The 19,033-nt window shown below is 38.8% G+C and overlaps 1 long non-coding RNA gene across 1 annotated transcript in view; it reads right to left on the bottom strand.

Moving 5' to 3' along the window:
• LOC105372544 (uncharacterized) overlaps positions 1–19,033 on the bottom strand; it is a 74,761-nt gene that overhangs the window by 18,377 nt on the left and 37,351 nt on the right. Inside the window, exon 3 of the long non-coding RNA XR_937289.1 lies at positions 4,546–4,683. This is a non-coding gene — a long non-coding RNA (uncharacterized LOC105372544). The remainder of the gene's footprint in view (positions 1–4,545; positions 4,684–19,033) is intronic.

Below are 19,033 nucleotides of genomic sequence, written 5' to 3'. Positions count from 1 at the left end.
AAACCAAGGTGTCAGCATGGCCACACGTCATCTGGAGACTCTAGGGGAGAATCTGTGCCTTGCCTCTTCCCACTTCTGGGGGTTTCTGGCATCTGTGGTCTTGAGGCAATAGCATCTTCAAATCTCTTCTCACTCTGCTCCCACATCTTCTTCTTCCATGTATTCCCCTCTGTCTCTCTCTTATAAGGATACATGTGATTGCATAGGGCCAACCTGGGTAATATAGAGTAATTGCCTCACCTCAAGAACCTTAATTTAATCACAACTGCAAAATCTTTGTCATATCCAGTAACATTCATAGGATCCAGGGATCGGGACTATTATCTTTGGGGGATCATTTTTCAGCCTATCACGTCAAGGTTATACATGGCAGCATTGTTTGTCATAATTCAAGACTGGAAATGACCCAAATACCCATCAATGGAGAGCTGATTAAATAAATTATGGCATACCCATAAAATGGGATATTATGTCATTTCTGATACATAAAGGTTGACAAGATGTTGCTTTAAATGAAAAAATGCAAAGTACTAAACATGTGTGAAGTATGCTACCACTGGTAAAAAATACAGACTCCCCCATATCCACATACTTACTTATATTATGCATATGCTTGAGGATGTTTTGAATATTTCTGAAAAGATGCACAAGAAGTTAGTGACAGTATTTGCCTATTGAGAGGGGGCTTGGGGAACTGGATGGTTGGGGATGGGGTAGAAGGCAGGGCTTATTTTTCATACTATTCCCTTTATAAACTTTTAAATTTAAAACCATGTGGATTTGTTTCTTATTTAAAAACAAAGGGTTTGAAGATCTGAATAAAAAAATCAGTGCGTGTTCAAGAAAAAATACTTCTGCTGCTAGTACTGACTGGCCCTTGTTGTCCACCACATGGTCTACGTCTCCCCTGCTGTGTTGTCCTTCACACAGGGCTCCCTGCCCAGCTCAGTTTCTCTGTACCTGCTCAGATCTTGCCACTGGTAGCTGTACACTGCAGGCGGCAGCCTTCTTGTAGACCAGTTACTTTCTTTACTGTCCACTTGACTGATAGGAAATCTGCTTCTTGCTGACACAGCAACCAGTGGGAGGGAGACTGCCCTTCTGTCCTCTCATCTCTCTCCAATTCTGTTCTTTCCCAGCTCTAGTAAGTAAGTGACAGATCTGCTGCACGACCAGACTGCAACTCAGGCATGCGATGCCATCTCCCTGAATCTTGAGAGAAGCTCACACCGCTGCCTTGCCTTGGGGCAGGAGGAACAGAGCCCCCTTGCAATGGGAAGGGATCCCCCTCACTGCCCGCACTGTCCTCTCCACAAGGCTGCAGCTCTAAGAGCTATGGACTAACATCCCTTCTTCAGGCATGGAGGTGGATGTAAGGAACTGCTTGTCTGGAATATTCTTTTATAGATCACTGTACTTCATGGCAAATCCTTAGTAGTACAGCTATCACGTACCTCACACCTTCTAGCTGGAACACAGTTGGAAACTTGTAATGAGCATACAAAAGGCATTTTGAATATCCACAGTAGATATGAGAATGTTTATTATCTAAATCTCCTGCCTTTAATTTACAAGAGAACACAGAGTTCCTAATTCTGAGTCTTTTATCCCTCACTTTACTCATGTTTGTAACAGTCCCTATGACCTAATTTCCACCCTTAGCAGATTAGAAGCAGCCAGTTGTAAGTGGAAAGAGGCAAATCTAGTAACTGCATAAAGACAATGAAAGCAGCAAGAAAGTTACAACTCCCAACAAAAGGAAAGGCATAGAAACCATTTTAAAAAGAACAATAGTAACAACAAACCCAGTGAAGGAGCAAATTCTTTATTTCCCTTGAGGTCATCATTTTAATTTAGCAAGGTACAATTTTTTGCACATTGACTCTCAGTTTTCAAATATTTAATGTGTCATGTTTTAGAAGGCAGAGAAGTGTATGAGACATTTTTGAGATGTCTTTATCCTCATGTGTTTAGACTTCTTTTAATGAAAAATTGATATAAACATCATTTATCTATAGCAGCCTGTTTCATCTGTGATACCAGATACTCATCTCTGCAGTTAGGCATTTGACATATTGATACTGGGAACAGCAATACACTATTCAAATATGCATCTTGGTGGTCTCGTAACATAGAAATGGAACCAACTACTATGCTTGAAAACAAAATTTCCACTATGCACTATATACATGTAACCAAATTTCTCATTTACTCCATAAATATTACAAATTAAAAAAAAGAAAAAGGAGTTTTTACATTGGACCCCTTCAAGTCTGCTTCTAGATTCAGTGTTAACACTGACATGCACTTATTGTACATAATTCTCCCAGTTCACTTTTTTGTACTACCAAACATGTGTTTGTTCCATGACCCCATGTCACTTCCCGCCTTGCATAAGTCCACAGGATTTCATGGCAGGGTCCAGGTCTATGTAATTTTTTTGTTGAGATTAATATACCTTGAGTAAATGCTCATTTTATGTATGAATGAATGATTGTTGACTGAATTAAATATTCAAGTTTGCATGGCTTCTAACAAACAGCGTTTTAAGGGATTTTGTTAAACATGCCCATAGACACAGGTAATTGACTAGGGATGGAGACAGACGCAAGGAAGGACCAGGCTTGGTCTTCCCATAATTGGATTAGAAAACACAGAGGGAAATTTGACTGATGCCAGGTTTCAGACCTGAAGAGTTGTGTACAGTTGGCCAGGTGGTCACACTCGGCTATGTTCAAAACAATTAAGCAGAAGTGTTCTAGAATGACCAGTTGTGAGGGCTACAACATTTAGGAGGATATGCTTGGAACCTGTAGATCTGAAAGCATAACAAGTATAGTTTCATGAACATTTCAGCTGCCTAAGCATCTCTCTTTCACAAACTTCTGATTCATTATACAAATCTAAGGTCAAGATAACCAGTTGGGGGCCATCAACTATTGAGAAAGAAGGCAATAAGACATTAATTTTACAACAATATCTTGAAACTTGGGCCAGAATTCTCCTGCTTGAAAAGTCATGGTTTTGTGGGAGAACCCCAGCAAGAATCAAATGCAGATATTTAGACCCAGGGGTGAAGGACCACAGGACCAGATATTCCTCCATAGCTCTCTGGTGCTGGGTTTTATAATATTTTAATGAAGCAAGGATCGAGTCTGCTAAAAGTTAAAACACTTCTGTGTCTCACTTCTTCTCATTAGGGACTGTGGTCTCTTCAGCAGGTTTGGGTGGGCTGTGGAAAAGGAGGCTTTTCACAGTGGGGCCCTTTCCACTTGGACACAAAAAGGCTGTTTCTTGCAGTTGGGAGTGTTCTTCTAACCAGAGGAGGCTGGTGTGCTGTGTAGCTGTGAGTCAGGAAGGCTCAACCAGAGAACAAGTTGGAGACAGACACTGTGGCCCTGGGAGATGTTTCTGGCTCATGGCTCCCATCCTCCATGTTCCTTGCCTTGGTCCCCATGGGGCCCAGGTGGGTTTCTTGTCCCTGAACATTTTCACTTATTTTTTATTTAAGCTACTTTAAGTGAGTTTCTCTTTCTTGCAATCTAAAGAGACCTTACTGGAACATGGGTTAATTTGTTGCCATTTCTTTTTCAAATAAAAAGTATGGACATAACATAATCTGAAATCAATGCTTATAACATCTAGGAGGGATCAATAATGTTGTTGTGCAAATGCAAAATTGTGATTGTAATGATGCAAATTGCCAAATAGTAATAGGAGAGTGTGACGAAACCAGTTTAGACTCAGGCTCACCTGTATTTTAATCTAGACTTCATTATTTATTTGCTGTGTGGCTTTGGGCAAATAACTTAAGCTTTCTGAAACTATTTTTTAATCTGTATATGGAGGAAACAGCACTTATTATACTGTTTTGCTGAGAAAATTAGAGATAATATATGTACAGTACTGAGCAATGAACCTGGCACTTAGATGTTTGATAAAGAGTGACTGATCACATGACTGTGAGTACACAGGCAAGGAATTAGTTGATCAATCATGACTGTCATGGCAAATGTAAGAGTGAAATGAAAAACCTGTTTTATGAATAGAATAACCAGATATTGGCAAATGTAGGCTTGTCAATGAGCAGGTATATAAGAAAGATTGAAGTGTCTGTGGAGATGTAAGCAGATTCTGACTGAATGAGGAAACCGCCCAACAAAAGGTAAGAATTCCAAGAAATTAACCTACAAAATGTACTTTGGGTCACATGGAAAACCTGTGAATAAACTCAACTCATGTGGCATGTCATGACAGCTGACAGAGAGCAGTAAAAGACCGAAATTCCCACCTGCTGGACAAAGGAAAGATACTAACCATGGTTACTACAGTAACTATGGAAATTATGAAGATTTGCAGAACCGATGGGCTAACCTCCAGATGCACTTCAGGGATTAACAGATCACCTGAAAAATCAGAATCCCGTGTCTTTGGATTATTTCATCTAAACTTCTATGCCCATGTGATCTGCAGTCACAAAATATACTGTTTCTCTTGAAAAAGTTGAAGTGCTTTCCTCTATACTTCAAAGTGCATAATAGTCACCTGGGGATGCCAATCCTGTTCCAATGCAGATCCTGAGGCAGCAGATCTGGAGTGGGGCCTGCGATGTTGCATGTCTAACAGACTCCAGGTGATGCTGATGCCCATGGTCCAAAGACCACAACTTTAAGTAGCGAGGCTCTATGAGTCAGAAGAAATTCACTGGTGAAAATAATTTTAAGCATTATTCTAGTTTCTCTACTTCAGTAGGGCAGTGTTTACATAAAGGAGTTGAGAATGGAATAGATCTCTGAACAATGTATTCCTCAAGCCTACTTGCAAAATCTTGGGCATTGGAGAAGAGCTTTGAGCTCGAAACCTGCAGGCATTAGCCTCAGTATTTCATTTGCTGTCGAACTGACAGGCCATTGCTTGCTGTCTGCTTCTCCATACCTGGGCACTTGTGACAACTTTGCCCTACTTTTTAATATCGGTGTCATAGGTAGAAAGTGGATCGATAGGATATGGGGGCAATGACAGGAAGCGGCCTATGAAATCATGTCACAGTAGGATCTGTAATCCTTTCAACTGTGACAGTTCATTGTCACTTAGCAGAAATCGTTGGTTATGAATATTTAACAAATTTGCAATTAGCTCATCTACCAACATGATTACTGAGATGGAATAAACCATTGAATAAAGCTGCTAGGATTATGTACATAATGCCTTTCTGATTATACACGCTTACACATCTGTTTTTGCTTTTCCTTCTCCTCTGACACTCTTTTTATTAATTTTTATAAAACCACATGCCACACCTCACTGCCTTCTGTAGTCTCATACTGTGCTAAGTAAATAAAGGCATTTTTATCTGAAAAATAATTCTACCCAGAATCTTCTGGGTAGAAAATTTAGTCTTAAGCTTCTGCGGTGACACCATCTAATGCATGGTATCCAGCAGCAAGAATGCCTGGAATCTTTTGCTAATTTATCACCAAAGCCATCTGTGGTCCAATTACCAAATTGCCCCAATTTTTTTCTGGTCCAAAAAGGCATTACATATTATCCGCTTGACTCATTCTACTTGGGTTGTAATGCAGATTAATTAAAAAATCCACAGAGGAGGGGATAGATCACTTGATTTAAGGTCAGGAAAGCTTGCAGCTCACTGGCCATGTGATCTTGTGTCTAATCGCTTCACCTTTCTGGGCTCCAGATTCTTCTCTGTAAAGATAATCGTTAGTCATTACTTCCTGGTATTTAATTTTTAAGATTATAGGTCGTTTTCCTTGTGCTGTTGGAATTAGCATCTTGCTACTTCTTCAGAGCAATAAAAGGAAAAAAAAAAAAGAAAAGTAGAGGAGATATTATGTAATAGTAAGTGGTAGAATGGGGAAGAGAATCGTCTTGCTGACTCCTATTCCATGGAAGCTTTTTCCTCTCTTGCTGAAAACAACTTGTAGCAGTAACATGAAACTACTTGTGCTTGATCCAGAAAACAAAAAGAAAATGTTGCACCACTCAAAACAGACACTATCTATATGCTTTCACTAATAATCAGTACTGCTGTTAAAAGGTTTTCATTTTTCCTAAGTGCATTTCAAACTGTCATCAAGGTGGGGCATGCAGGTCATATTATCTTTGAGCTCTTTGCTGAATTGCGCTGTCTGCTTTGTTGATAGATCCATACTCTGTTTTTCTTCATGTTTTTAGGAAATGATCTTGATTATTTCTCCCATGCAGCTTGGATTTCTAAAAAGCTACTGTTTTCGAAATGCAAAAGGCAATGAGGAATATTGTAAGAGTTACCAGAAGTTGCCATTAATAATAGTTTTGCTACGTTACTTTGTATAGGAGTGTAGGGCTTTTATGTTTGCAAAATGCTTTCACATGCATTAGTTAACATATTTGGCTGATATTCCCAGACACACTACTTTTTAGGATGGGCTTTTTCCAGTCCTTCTGCTGATGGAATCTGGGTCTTAGCATTTGGAATCATCCCAGCACTGATTAGACTTTAAGGGCCAAATTTATGAGTCAGCAACCTGCTTGTTTCTTCATTTTTTTTCTATTGACTTATCGTGAGTCCTAACAGAATATTTAAGCATTTACTCATATTTATTTACTTATCCAGTTTGTCTTTTGTCCAATAGTCATAAGGCGCCACTGTCTATAATTTGCTAGATTATGGATAAACAAATATACATGACAACATTCCTACTCTCAGGGAGCTCAGTGTAAAGGCAAAAATGGACAGGAAAATCCAGGCCCAAGATACACTGGGATAAGAGCCTTGTTGGAGGGAGACATGGATAAAGGCCAACCAGCCAGCACAGCCTGAGGGCAGTCAGCAAATGCTCCCAATGGGTCAGTCATTAGGGCTGAATGTCGTTAGCCAGGACAATGGGTGGTGGATGAGAAGAAGACACCCTTCTTTCAAAGAGAAGAACCAAAAAACAGAGATTTGGAGGCCCCAAGCACTATAACCTATAAGCAACTGCAACACAGCAATGCATTTGATAATTTACTAATGTAGTTACCTGTTTGCTTAACTCTTTATTGTAGAAATTAATGAATGTACACTCAAGTAAAGGGGGATAGTAAAAGAAGGTCTTGCAGGCCCATAACCCAGCTTTTGTGATTTTGTATTAGGAAAAAGAAAACTCAGATCTGCTGTCAGCTTTATGGCTTCAGGAGACCACATGATGGGACAGAAGAGAGGACTCAGAAACAGGTCCATGCAGACATGGGAACAACAAATGGCAGACCTGGCATTGCAAATCTATGGAGGAAGGATGAAATATTCAATAGTGATGAGATCATTACTTAACTATATGAAAAAAATAAATTTGGATCCCTCCTTCACAATCTGTGTTGTAAATATAAATTCCAGGTTGGATTAAAGACCTGAACATAAACAGCAAATCATTAAGTTTTTTTGAAGAAACTATAGAAGAATATCTTTATGAACTTTGAGTAGGGAAGAATTTCTCACAGTTAAAAATCACAAAACTTAAAGTAATAAATTTAAATTTACTAGAACCCTATGTTTCTTGTAGGCCAAAATGAGAAATTAAAAAGACAAGCCACAGTCTGGAAAAAAATCATATATATATATGTATATATATATACACACACACATAAATATATATATAATCAGTGTATATGATCAGGATTCATTTCCAGAAAATATAAAGAACTCTAACAAAGATGAACACTCCAATAGAAAAATTGGCTAGTTACATTATGAATTTTTAGAAGAGGAAACATGAATAGTCAATGAACATACAAAAATGCATTCAACCTTAAGGGTAATTAGGAAATTCATATTAAAGTCATAATGCTCTAAGGTGGGTTAAATAGAAGGATTCACCAGTATTTTGAATGTTTTACATCTTAAACTGGATGGTCTGTGCACAGTGTTTCTTATATTATTCTGTATGCCTTATATATCTGAAGCTTCACAGAGATATCTTCATGTATGTATGTATATATATTATATATGTACATATATGTATATATAATACATATATACATATATAAACATGCATTGTGTATATATGTAAGTATACTATACAAGTTGTGTTTTATTAAATAAATTCGTATAAACTCTTTGCAGGGTTTAATTATCTACACAAGTACCTTACTTAAGAATTGCATTGTATGGGAATGATGCAATTGAATTTCATTCTTCACCAGATATCAACATTGGCATAATTAACTAGGTGGCCTGGGTTAGTAGAAAGGCCAACACATGGAGTGTGCTCTGTGGTAACTGGATGGGTGATTCTGGCTTTTCACTAAACCTCTCTAGACCTCAGTTCCCTCACTTGTAAATGGAGGGAATCCTACAAAAGACCAACCAGTACTGCCTCACACTTTACGATTCTATGTTATGCCAGCATTTCTCAAAGTGTGTTGGAAAAAATCCATGAGATTCTAATTGGGATTCCTTGAGAACAGAGCTCTGCTATCAAACAAGTTGGGAATCATTTATCATTGTAACGTACTGTCCTCTTGAGAGTGTGGATATGCAGTAAGAAGGTGGGGAAGGAACAGAAACTGGGAGAAAGAAACCAGGCATGAGGATCTGTGCCCCTCGGGCATGTTCCCTCATGCTGTCCCACTTCTGGCTCCGGGGACTTGGGAGTTGTTTACTTGACAGATATTTATTGAATCCATTTGTGTAGTCAAAGATAATGAGAGACAGGAGGAGGGGAAGGGAGACCTTCTGTTCTACGGCTTCCACAGTCCCTTCTTTGAAAGCATGCTTAGGTCAAGGCCATATATTGCTTTGGCCTGTGAGACAACAAAGCCAGCTGGCTGCACCTGCTTCCTGCTCAGAGCTTTCCAGATGCAATTGAAATCAGGAGAGGCTCACATGCAGCATGGGTGCCTTCCTTTGTGAGGCTGGTAAACAGCTTCAGCCGGGGTTTTTATTTTTTTGCCAAAGCAACTGTGCAATGAATAGCTGTGTGTTCTTAGGGACTTCACTCAGCCCACCCTGGGTTTCAGATTCTCATCTTTAAAAAGAAGGGCTTTTATAAGATTATTTTTGAGCTTCTTCGTGTTCCTTTATTACCTAAGACATTTATAAATGTGTCCGTTCAGAAGTTCTTCGGACTTGGTTGAAAACATTAGCGTAGAAGTATTCAACAAGGGAATGGGTTAGTAAGACAGCCATTCAACATGTTTGTTGTTGAGGACCTACACTATCTTCAATGCTGGAGAAATAGCAGTGAACAAAAACAGTCTCTTCTCTCGTAAAGGCTAAAATTTCATGGGAGGAGACAGATAACAAATAAAGAAGATGCCTGAACATCAGGTAGTGTTAAGTGCTAAGAATAAAAAAAGCAGGCTATGTGCCTAGAGAGTGCCGGCAGGGGATTATTTTGTGTTAGAAGTTTAGAGAAGGCCTCTCTATTAAGGTGCCATTCAAGCTGAAACTTATGTGAGGGGTAAGCCACTGATGTAAGCTGGGAAGAAGGGTGGTGGGAAGAAGGTTCTAGGTGGAGGAAATGCCAAGGCCCCAAGGTCGGAGTGTGCCCAGCATGTACAGGGAACATCATGGCAGCAAGAGGAGAGTGGCTGGAAATGAAGTGAGGGAGCTCGTGGGAAATGATGAAAGTCCTGCATTTCATCCAGAGTGAGATGGTAAGTCAAAAGAGAGAATCGAGAAGATAATTGACACGATCTGAATAGAGTTTTGGAGAAACTGACTGAGACTAGTCTGTGGGAGGTCAGGAGGGGGAAGGAAACAAGGCATCTAATTGGAGGCTATTCAACAGCACATGAGAGAGAGAATGGAGGCTTGTAATAGGCTTTGGGGTAAGATTCTGAAAAATCCCAGGGAAGGACTCCAGTTCACTTAGCTATAGCCAAAAGGTCAGGGTTCTGTGATGGCAGCTCCTCCTTGAAATGTGACCCAGAGAGGAGAGGCTTTGCCCCAGAGGAAGGGGATAAAGCATGAACAGTGGATGTGAACCACACTGTTGCCAAGATAAAATGTGACAACTCTAAAACAAAACAAAAAGCACCACGGGAACAAAGAGTAGAAGAGAAGGTATTGAGACTAAAAGTTGTGCTCAAAATTATTTTCTCACATAATCACTGTGGCGTTATAACAAAGAACACAGGGTTATAATACGTTTTCTTCTTGGGACACAATCAACATATGTGCATTGATTACTTCTTATGTCCTGGATGCTGGGTGAGGGGAGGAAGATTCCCAGCCTGGAAGGAAATTAATAGCACCATGCTGCTTTTTCCTTCCTTCCTTCCTTCCTTCCTTCCTTCCTTCCTTCCTTCCTCTTTTTTTCTTTCAACTTTCTTTTTCTTTCAAAAAAAAATGCAAAAAAGCAGACAGACATTTTTCTCTATCACATAAAAGATATGCAGAGTTAAGATACTGAGCCCGTTAAGACATCTCATGATCATTACAGACTCAGGTTTTCTTCTATTTTGCAGTTCTGCCCTTACTATGTTGCCACACTTCTTATTTGCAAAGGATGTATTTGATAAAGGACTATTTCCAAATATATGAGGAACTCTTGAAGAGTTTTGAAAACAACCCCGTTAAAAAAGGGCAGAAGATCTGAACAGACACCTCACTAAAGAAGATACACAGATGGTAAATAAATATGAAAAGATGCTTATCATCCAGGAAATGCAAATTAAAACAATGAGATAACACTGCATACCTATTAAAATGCCCTAAATCCAGAACACTGACAACACCAAATGCTGGTGAGGACATGAGGAAACTGGAGCTTTTGTTTAATACGGGTGGGAATGCAAAATGGTACAACCACTTTGAAAGACAGTTTGGTGGTTTCGTGCAAAGCTAAGCATACTCTTACCATATGACCCAGCGATCACACTCCTGAGTATTTACCCAAAGAAGTTGAAAACTTATGTCCCCACAAAAACCTGCACATATGTTTTTATAGCAGCTTTATTTATAATTGCTAAGACTTGGAAGTAAAGCAAGGTGGTCTTCAGTAGGTGAATGCATGAATAAACTATGGTACATCCACACAATGGAATGCTATTCAGTGCTGACAAAAATGAGCTATCAAACCGTGAAAAGACATAGGAGAACCTTAAATGCATATTACTAAGTGAAAAAGTCCAATCTAAAAAGGCTACATACTGCACGATTCCAACTACATGACATTCTAGAAAAGGCAAAACTATAAAGCCAAGACTGCAATGGCGGTAAGTTTGATTTGTGGCTTAGCTTACAGCCTTACCTGTAAAAGTTATTTAAGCCTCCAGGAGCTGCTGAATACAGCTTGTTTGAAAGAAAAGCCAGCCCACTCATATTTAGATTAAGAACACCTGTGGCTCACACCTGTAATCCCAGCACTTTGGGAGGTTGAGGCAGGAGGATCACGAGGTCAGGAGATCGAGACCATCCTGGCTAAGACGGTGAAACCCCGTCTCTACTAAAAATACAAAAAATTAGCCGGGCGCGGTGGCGGGCGCCTGTAGTCCCAGCTACTCTGGAGGCTGAGGCAGGAGAATGGCATGAACCCAGGAGGCGGAGCTTGCAGTGAGCCAAGATAGCGCCACTGCAGTCCGGCCTGGGCGAAAGAGCGAGACTCCGTCTCAAAAAACAAAACAAAACAAAACAAAACAAAACAAAACAAAACAACCCTGCATTTAGAGAAGCATAAATAAACAGCAGGTGCTTTTCTGCTTCCTGAAAATAAAGTACAAACCTTGCCTTCATTAGATGTTTTTGCAGATTTTAGCCTCTACACCTGCTTAGACTAGAGGTGGCGCTTTGTCACCCAAATTTGCTATTTGGTTCAACTTCTGGATATTTCATAAATGTTTATTATTCCTGTCATTTCTCAGATCCACCAAAACCCAGAGTTTATATTACTGGGATTCAAAGAGATTTGAATCTGATCTTAGATGCAAAATGAAGAAAAGAAAAACAAGATTTGCTCCACTCTGTGCATTTCCCCAACAAGCTAGACTATAAGGCAAGTAGCTTGTGGGAGAGAAAAATTCTGTAAGTAAAAAAAGAAATTTTAAGAGATATAAATTTTACCCTCTTCTTACATACCTACTACCATACCCAACACAACACTGCTCAAAAAAGTGGCATTTAGAATGTTTGCTTCTTCCCAACTCCTGTAGTCGCTGTAGAAGGGAAGAAAGACTCCTCTCACTTAATCAAGACCTCAGCCCTGTCTGGGCATTAAAATCACCCATGTGGCCTCAAGAGTCCAACACTCAGGTCTTGACCCAGCTCTATTCAATCTGTATCTCAGTGCATGAGGTCCAGGTATAACAGTGAAACAGCAAAAGGACTAATACAACTAACTCCATTTTTGTTTAAGGGGCTTTACCTATTCCTGCACATAAGCTAGGATAGTTTAGTGCACTGAGATAATATGCAAAACAGCAATTATGTAGTTTTTTTAAACTCTAGGGTTAAAGAAGTATGTAAACAACTATGTTTTGTTAAAGATTTACAGGAACATTGTGACCTGACCAAGGATAAAGAAGTTCCCAACCTACTCAGACCCTCGCTGGCACACAGCTGTCCATGTTCATGGATTACCCATTGATCCCAGTTCCCTCCTTTTCCCCCTGCCCTTAACATAAAAAGAGGCTGCAACTTATATTAACTTAAAATGGTGCTTTAAGACAATAGTCCACCACCCTGTCAGTTTGCTGGCTCTCCAAATAAACCTGCTTTTCCTCCCACCAACCTTTGTCTCTCAAATCTGGTTTTCTAGGGGCAAGCAGTTGAACCTGGGTTTGGTTACACAGGCAGGTTATCTTCAAATGTTCCCGGGTTATTGCTGTGGACACCATGTGTCAGCGTTACTGTCTCTTGACTTGGAAGAGGAGGCCCTGACTAATAACTGGGCTTCCCCTTTATTCATATTTTGGTTTTGCTTTTTAATTAAATTAATCCTGTTGAACATGTCTTTTCTATTGAGCCACATGAAACTCTATTCTTTCTTTTTAAAGACAGGATCTTAATATATTTAAGCATTTTAGTGAAGAAAGAGGAATTATCTGTAAGTTTTAGATTTGACTTTGTGGAATCTGGCGAATCTGAAAACAGAGATGAGGTGCAGAAGCAAGTAGTGATTCTTTCCTGGAAATGTTAATAAACAAGAAAATTACTATTGTTCCTGGGCTTTGAGGGCATGAAGTGTTGTAAAAGTGTCAGGAAGGCTGTGAACACTTGCATCTTCCAAAAGTTTTATATTTTGTCTGTAAATTCTGAGGAGAGAAAAATCTTAGACACCAAATTTAGAAGTAAGTTGCTGAAAAAAATTTTCTTAATATTAATTGAGTATTAGAAAACCATAAAGAGAGATTACAAAGAGAATGGAACTTTTGCATTGGGATCCATCAATACCAGGGCTTTAAGTGGAGAGATGAATAAAGGAGAAGCAGACTGTTATGATTCTGTCTCCCTCTTCAGCCCATTTTCTCCAAAGTTCATGCATCTCTATCCCTGAGAAAAGACAGTTAAACAAGAGAGTTACACAGCAGGTATCTTGCAACACAGTAATGGCATAGTTGATTGTTCTGTTTAATAATTGTATGTTTATTATATTATATTTGGGAAATGCAACCTGCCACACAGTTATAGTTCATTCTGATTTTTTTTACTAGTCTTTAGAACTATAATAACGTTTTAAGTTTTTATATTTTTTGTTATTTCAAAGATAGTCTTCCCTGTAGGTAAGTGGAGTGGACAACGAGGTCACAAATCTAAGGTACTCTTAGAATTGCAGTTTTTTTGAAACCAGAGATGCTGGCAACTCATTAAGTTTTTGAAGCAGCTAAAATCCACACACAGAACTAATATATATATATATATATAATATATATTTCTGTTATATATATATATAAAATATATATTTCTGTTATATATATAATGAAATATATATTATGAAATATATATATTTATATATATTTCTGTAATATATAATATATTTTTATATATTTCTATAATATATGTATTAGATATATTTATATATTTCTGTAATATATATTATATATATTTATATATATTTCTGTAAATGAATTTTTTCCAAGTTCTTTTCAACTCTTGTAATTTTTCCATTTCCCATATTAATGAGCAGGGAAAAGAAACAGAATAACATTACATGCATGAACAAATGATATGAAAATGAAATCCATTTCTAATTAGTTTACCAATTGGTCTGCATTTTGCTTTAATACAATGTAATTAGGTGTTTTGTCATTTCAAAATTAAGCTTCAGCTATAATTGTGTCTTTGATGTCCGTTGGTAGGTCATTAAAAAAAGGCATTTTCTCTATTTTTCTATAATATACTGAGTTTGAATTATATTTTCATTTTCACTGTTTTGTTTTTTATTGTGTGCCTGCTCATTCAGTGATGCATGGTTAGCAATTACACACTGTATTTTAAGAGTTTTTTTCACTTTTTATTTCAAACACACCTATTACTTTAATTTTACTACAGTGACTAGAAACTGTAAGTCTGGACTTCTAACACCATTAAATTACATGTAACAGCCTCATATTTAATGATTCAATTATCCTGAAAGCCTGATATTAAAGTCATAATGAATGATAGAAAGCTCCATCATCTTTTATTAGTTATGTATTGCTGCCCAATAGATATCTATTTTTATCTAACAAATTACCCCAAAATGTAGTGACAGAAAACACCCATTTTGTTATGATTATGGGTTCTGTCGGTAAGGGGTTTGGCCAGGGCATAGGTTTGGCAAGGTGGCTTCTGTTCCTGGATGTCAGGAAGCTCAGTTGAAAAGACTGGAAGGAGAGGCATGTCTTAGTGATGGGGCTGGAATCCTCTGGATGTGTCTCCACTTGCAGGTCTGATGCTGGATACTGGCTATTGGTTGGAGCATCTAGGCAGAGCTTTATCATGTGATTTTTTTCATCTGGCAGGTTTGATGGTTGGGTTCCAATAGGAACATCCTGAGAGACCCGGTGGGAACTGCGTCACCTTTTATGACCTAGCCCTGTAAGTCATGCAGTGGCACTTCTGCTAAAGTCACAAAACCTGCCCAGCATCAGGCAGGACATAGACCCATCTCTCCATAGGAGGAGTGTCGAGTCACCTTGTAAGAGGAGCATATGTGAAGGATTTATTGATGTGGCTGTTTTGGGGAAATGCAACCAGCCACACACCTACAGTTCATTCTGATTTTTTTTCACTAGTCTTTGGAACTAGAATAATTTTTTAAGTTTTTATATTTTTTGTTTGTTTCAAAGATAGTATTGCCTGCAGGTAAGTGGAGAGCACCATGAGGTCAGCCACTATAAATCAATGTTTCCACAATCTGCAGAGGGTTGGAACCCATGAAATTAGGAATAAGGTATAGATTTTTGAAAAAGATAACATTGTTCCTTCCCTGTGGCTTCTAAAACAATTGGTTTCTCAGAAGCCCTGAGCACATTTGCATTTGTCATAGGAAGATGCTGGGTACTTTGTGATAGAAGGAAAAAAAATGGTGAGTTTAGCCTTATAAATCTGCCTGAACAGACACAAGTAATGTGGTCACTTCAAGTAAGCCAGCTTTTCATCACAGTGTGAGGGGAAAAGTACTTGGCCAGATCTGGATCCTGAACTCTGTTACTTTCTAGCTGTGTGATCTTGAGAAAGTTACTTAACCTCTTGGAGTCTTGGTTTCCTTGTGTGCAAAGGGAAAATAATTTACCCCATGGGCTGTTGTGAGGATCAAATAAGATAATTTGTGGGAATATATTTGGAAATCTGTAGTGTTATGCAGAATAATCTGGGAATCATGGCAGCATCTCATAGAGCTGCTGGGAGGTTTAAATGGTAGAAAAATGTAAAATGCTCAGAGTAAGATAAGTATCATCTGTTGTGCAAAGATGAGATGTGATTCTTTCTATAGGTTGTATGCCAGAAGTGGGGGCACCTCTGGTTCACATTTGCATTTCTCCTATGAACAGCCCAGTGTTTTATATATAGTAAATGTTCACATTCCTTTCACATGTTCAATGTCTGAAAGATTTCTGCACTTGATTTGCTCAATGAATCCCATATTTGTGCAAATCTTTGCTGGTTTGGTAATAAGCTCTGATTCAGTCATTCCAACAGCTATATCAAATTCAACACTTCTAATTTTTGATGTGGAATTTGATATTTAAGTTGTTCTTTGCATTCCCAAAGATCCTCTCCAGAAAGGGTTAGCCTTCCTCCCGCCTTCCTCCACACCAGGCCTCTCAGCTCATCAAGGCATTGAACATTCACACAGATGAAACTTATTACCAAACCAGCTCTCTGCAGAACACGACATCTGGCTCTCAATCCATGTGCTATTTTTACAGCTCCAGGAGCCGAATTTGGAGGATTAGAGTAAGTTTAACACATGGTCTCTGTTCTCAAATGAATGGCTTGTTCATCGTGTCAAAGTTTTTAGAGTTGATTTATTGTATAAGGCAAGTCTTGTGGAAATAATGGTGTCAATGATATGATCTATTCAAGAAGGATCCTCAATCAACAGTTTAACTTTATAAGTAAAGAGAAGAGAATGGAGAAGAACTGGGAAACCATTCTGAGGACAGAAACCAAACAACATATTTTAGCAGAAGTTTATAGGCAGGGTGCCTCAACATATGTTGATGCCAAGTTTAATATATAACCTTCCAGGGAAGTGGCTTTCAGCTTCAGTTGCACAATGCAATTTCCTGGAAATCACTGCGGCTGGGTCCAGAAGATTAAGTCCTGGGAGCAGCATTCTGATTGAGGCGGTGCAGGCACAATGAGATACATGCATGTGTGTCTCACCATGTGGTGAGATCCTGGCCTTGGTACTGGCTACTCAAGATGTGTTCCCTGGACTAGCAGCATCAGGATCATCTGAAAGCTTGGTAGAAATGCAGAACCTTGGACATCACTGCTGCAGACCTAGTGAACTAGAATCTGCATTTAACAGTATCCTCAGGTGACAGTGTATACAGTATAGTTTGAGAAATGTTGTTTTAATGCAGCAATTCTCAAGCTCATCTGTGTATTGGAGTTATTTGTGAAAATTTTAAAAATCCAGATGCCTGTATCTCATTGTGCCTACACCGCCTAAATCAGAATCTCTGGGCATAGGATTCAGAAAGAGTCTTACAAATGGATGAGTTAACAATCCCCAGTGGTCAGGAATGCTTAATGTCTCTTGCATAAACTATCCTCTGACTCACCTATGAGTTTTGATTTTTTAAAATTTCTTTAAAGAGAAACAATAATTAAATTACAATGATGACAGTAGAAAAAAAAAGGGGAAATAATTTGAGTACAGAATCTTCCTACTTTTAACACTTTTCTCCCTAATCTTTTACAGTCATATCATTTTTAATTCATAGCATTTTTTTCGCCAATTTTTTTTTTTTTTTTTTGAGAAGGAGTCTTGCTCTGTCACCCAGGCTGGAGTGCAGTGGCGCGATCTCGGCTCACTGCAAGCTGCGCCTCCCGGGTTCACGCCATTCTCCTGCCTCAGCCTCCCGAGTAGCTGAGACCACAGGCGCCCGCCACCATGCCCGGCTAATTTTTTGTATTTTTAGTAGAGACGGGGTTTCACTGTGTTAGCCAGGATAGTCTCGATCTCCTGACCTCGTGATCCGCCCGCCTCGGCCTCCCAAAGTGCTGGGACTACAGGCATAAATTTATTTTTTAAATTATACTTTAAGTTCTAGGATATATATGGAGAACATGCAGGTTAGTTACATAGATATACACGTGCCATGGTGGTTTGCTGCACCCATCAACCTGTCATCTACATTAGGTATTTCTTCTAATGCTATCCCTCCCCTAGCCCCCTACCCACTGACAGGTCCCGGTGTGTGATGTTTCCCTCCCTATGTCCATGTGTTCTTATTGTTCAACTCCTACTTATGAGTGAGAATGTGCAGTGTTTGGTTTTCTGTTCCTGTGTTAGTTTGCTGAGAATGATGATTTCCAGCTTCATCCATGTCCCTGCAAAGGACATGAACTCATCCTTTTTCATGGCTGCATGGTATTCCATGGTGTATATGTGCCACATTTCCTTTATCCAGTCTATCACTGATGGGCATTTGGGTTGGTTCCAAGTCTTTGCTATTGTGAATAGTGTCACAATAAACATACGTGTGCATGTGTCTTTATAGTAGAATGATTTATAATCCTTTGGGTATATACCCAGTAATGGCATTGCTGGGTCAAATGGTATTTCTGGTTCTAGATCCTCGAGGAATTGCCACACTGTCTTCTACAATGGTTGCAGAAAACTGAAACTGGACCCCTTCCTTACACCTTATACAAAAATTAGCTCAAGATGGATTAAACACTTAAACGTAAGACCTAAAACCACAAAAACCCTAGAAGAAAACCTAATGCAATACCATGCAGGACATAGGCATGGGCAAGGACTTCATGACTAAAATACCAAAAGCAATGCAACAAAAGCCCAACGTGGCAAATGGGATCTAATTAAACTAAAGAGCTTCAGCACAGCAAAAGAAACTATCATCAGAGTGAACAGGCAAGCTACAGAATGGGAGCAAATTTTTTGCAATCTGTCCGTCTGACAAATGGCTAATATCCAGAATCTACAAGGAACTTAAATAAGTTTACACGAAAAAACAGCCCCATAAAAAATTGGGCAAAGGATATGAACAGACACTTCTCAAAAGAAGACATTTATGCAGCCAACAAACATATGAAAATAAGCTCATCCTCACTGGTCATTAGAGAAATGCAAATCAAAACCACAGTGAGATACCATCTTATGCCAGTTAGCATGGCAATCATTAAAAAGTCAGGAAACAACAGATGCTGGAGAGGATGTGGGGAAATAGGAACACTTTTACACTGTTGGGGGGAGTGTAAATTAATTCATAGCAAATTTTAAGTTATTCACCTTTATCGAGATTGTCCAAAGTATTCAACTAAGTTTTATAAAAAAGAAATCTCTTTGCACTCATATTTTATTGTCTTCACATGACATTTAAAGAGTGCATAATTTCAGAAATTGGAAAGTGGTATAAACAAGTTTGGGAACAA

The sequence above is a fragment of the Homo sapiens genome, chromosome 20, assembly GCF_000001405.40.
Source record: "Homo sapiens chromosome 20, GRCh38.p14 Primary Assembly".
In the NCBI taxonomy this organism is placed as follows: domain Eukaryota; kingdom Metazoa; phylum Chordata; class Mammalia; order Primates; family Hominidae; genus Homo; species Homo sapiens.
This window is presented reverse-complemented; position numbering and strand designations above follow the sequence as displayed.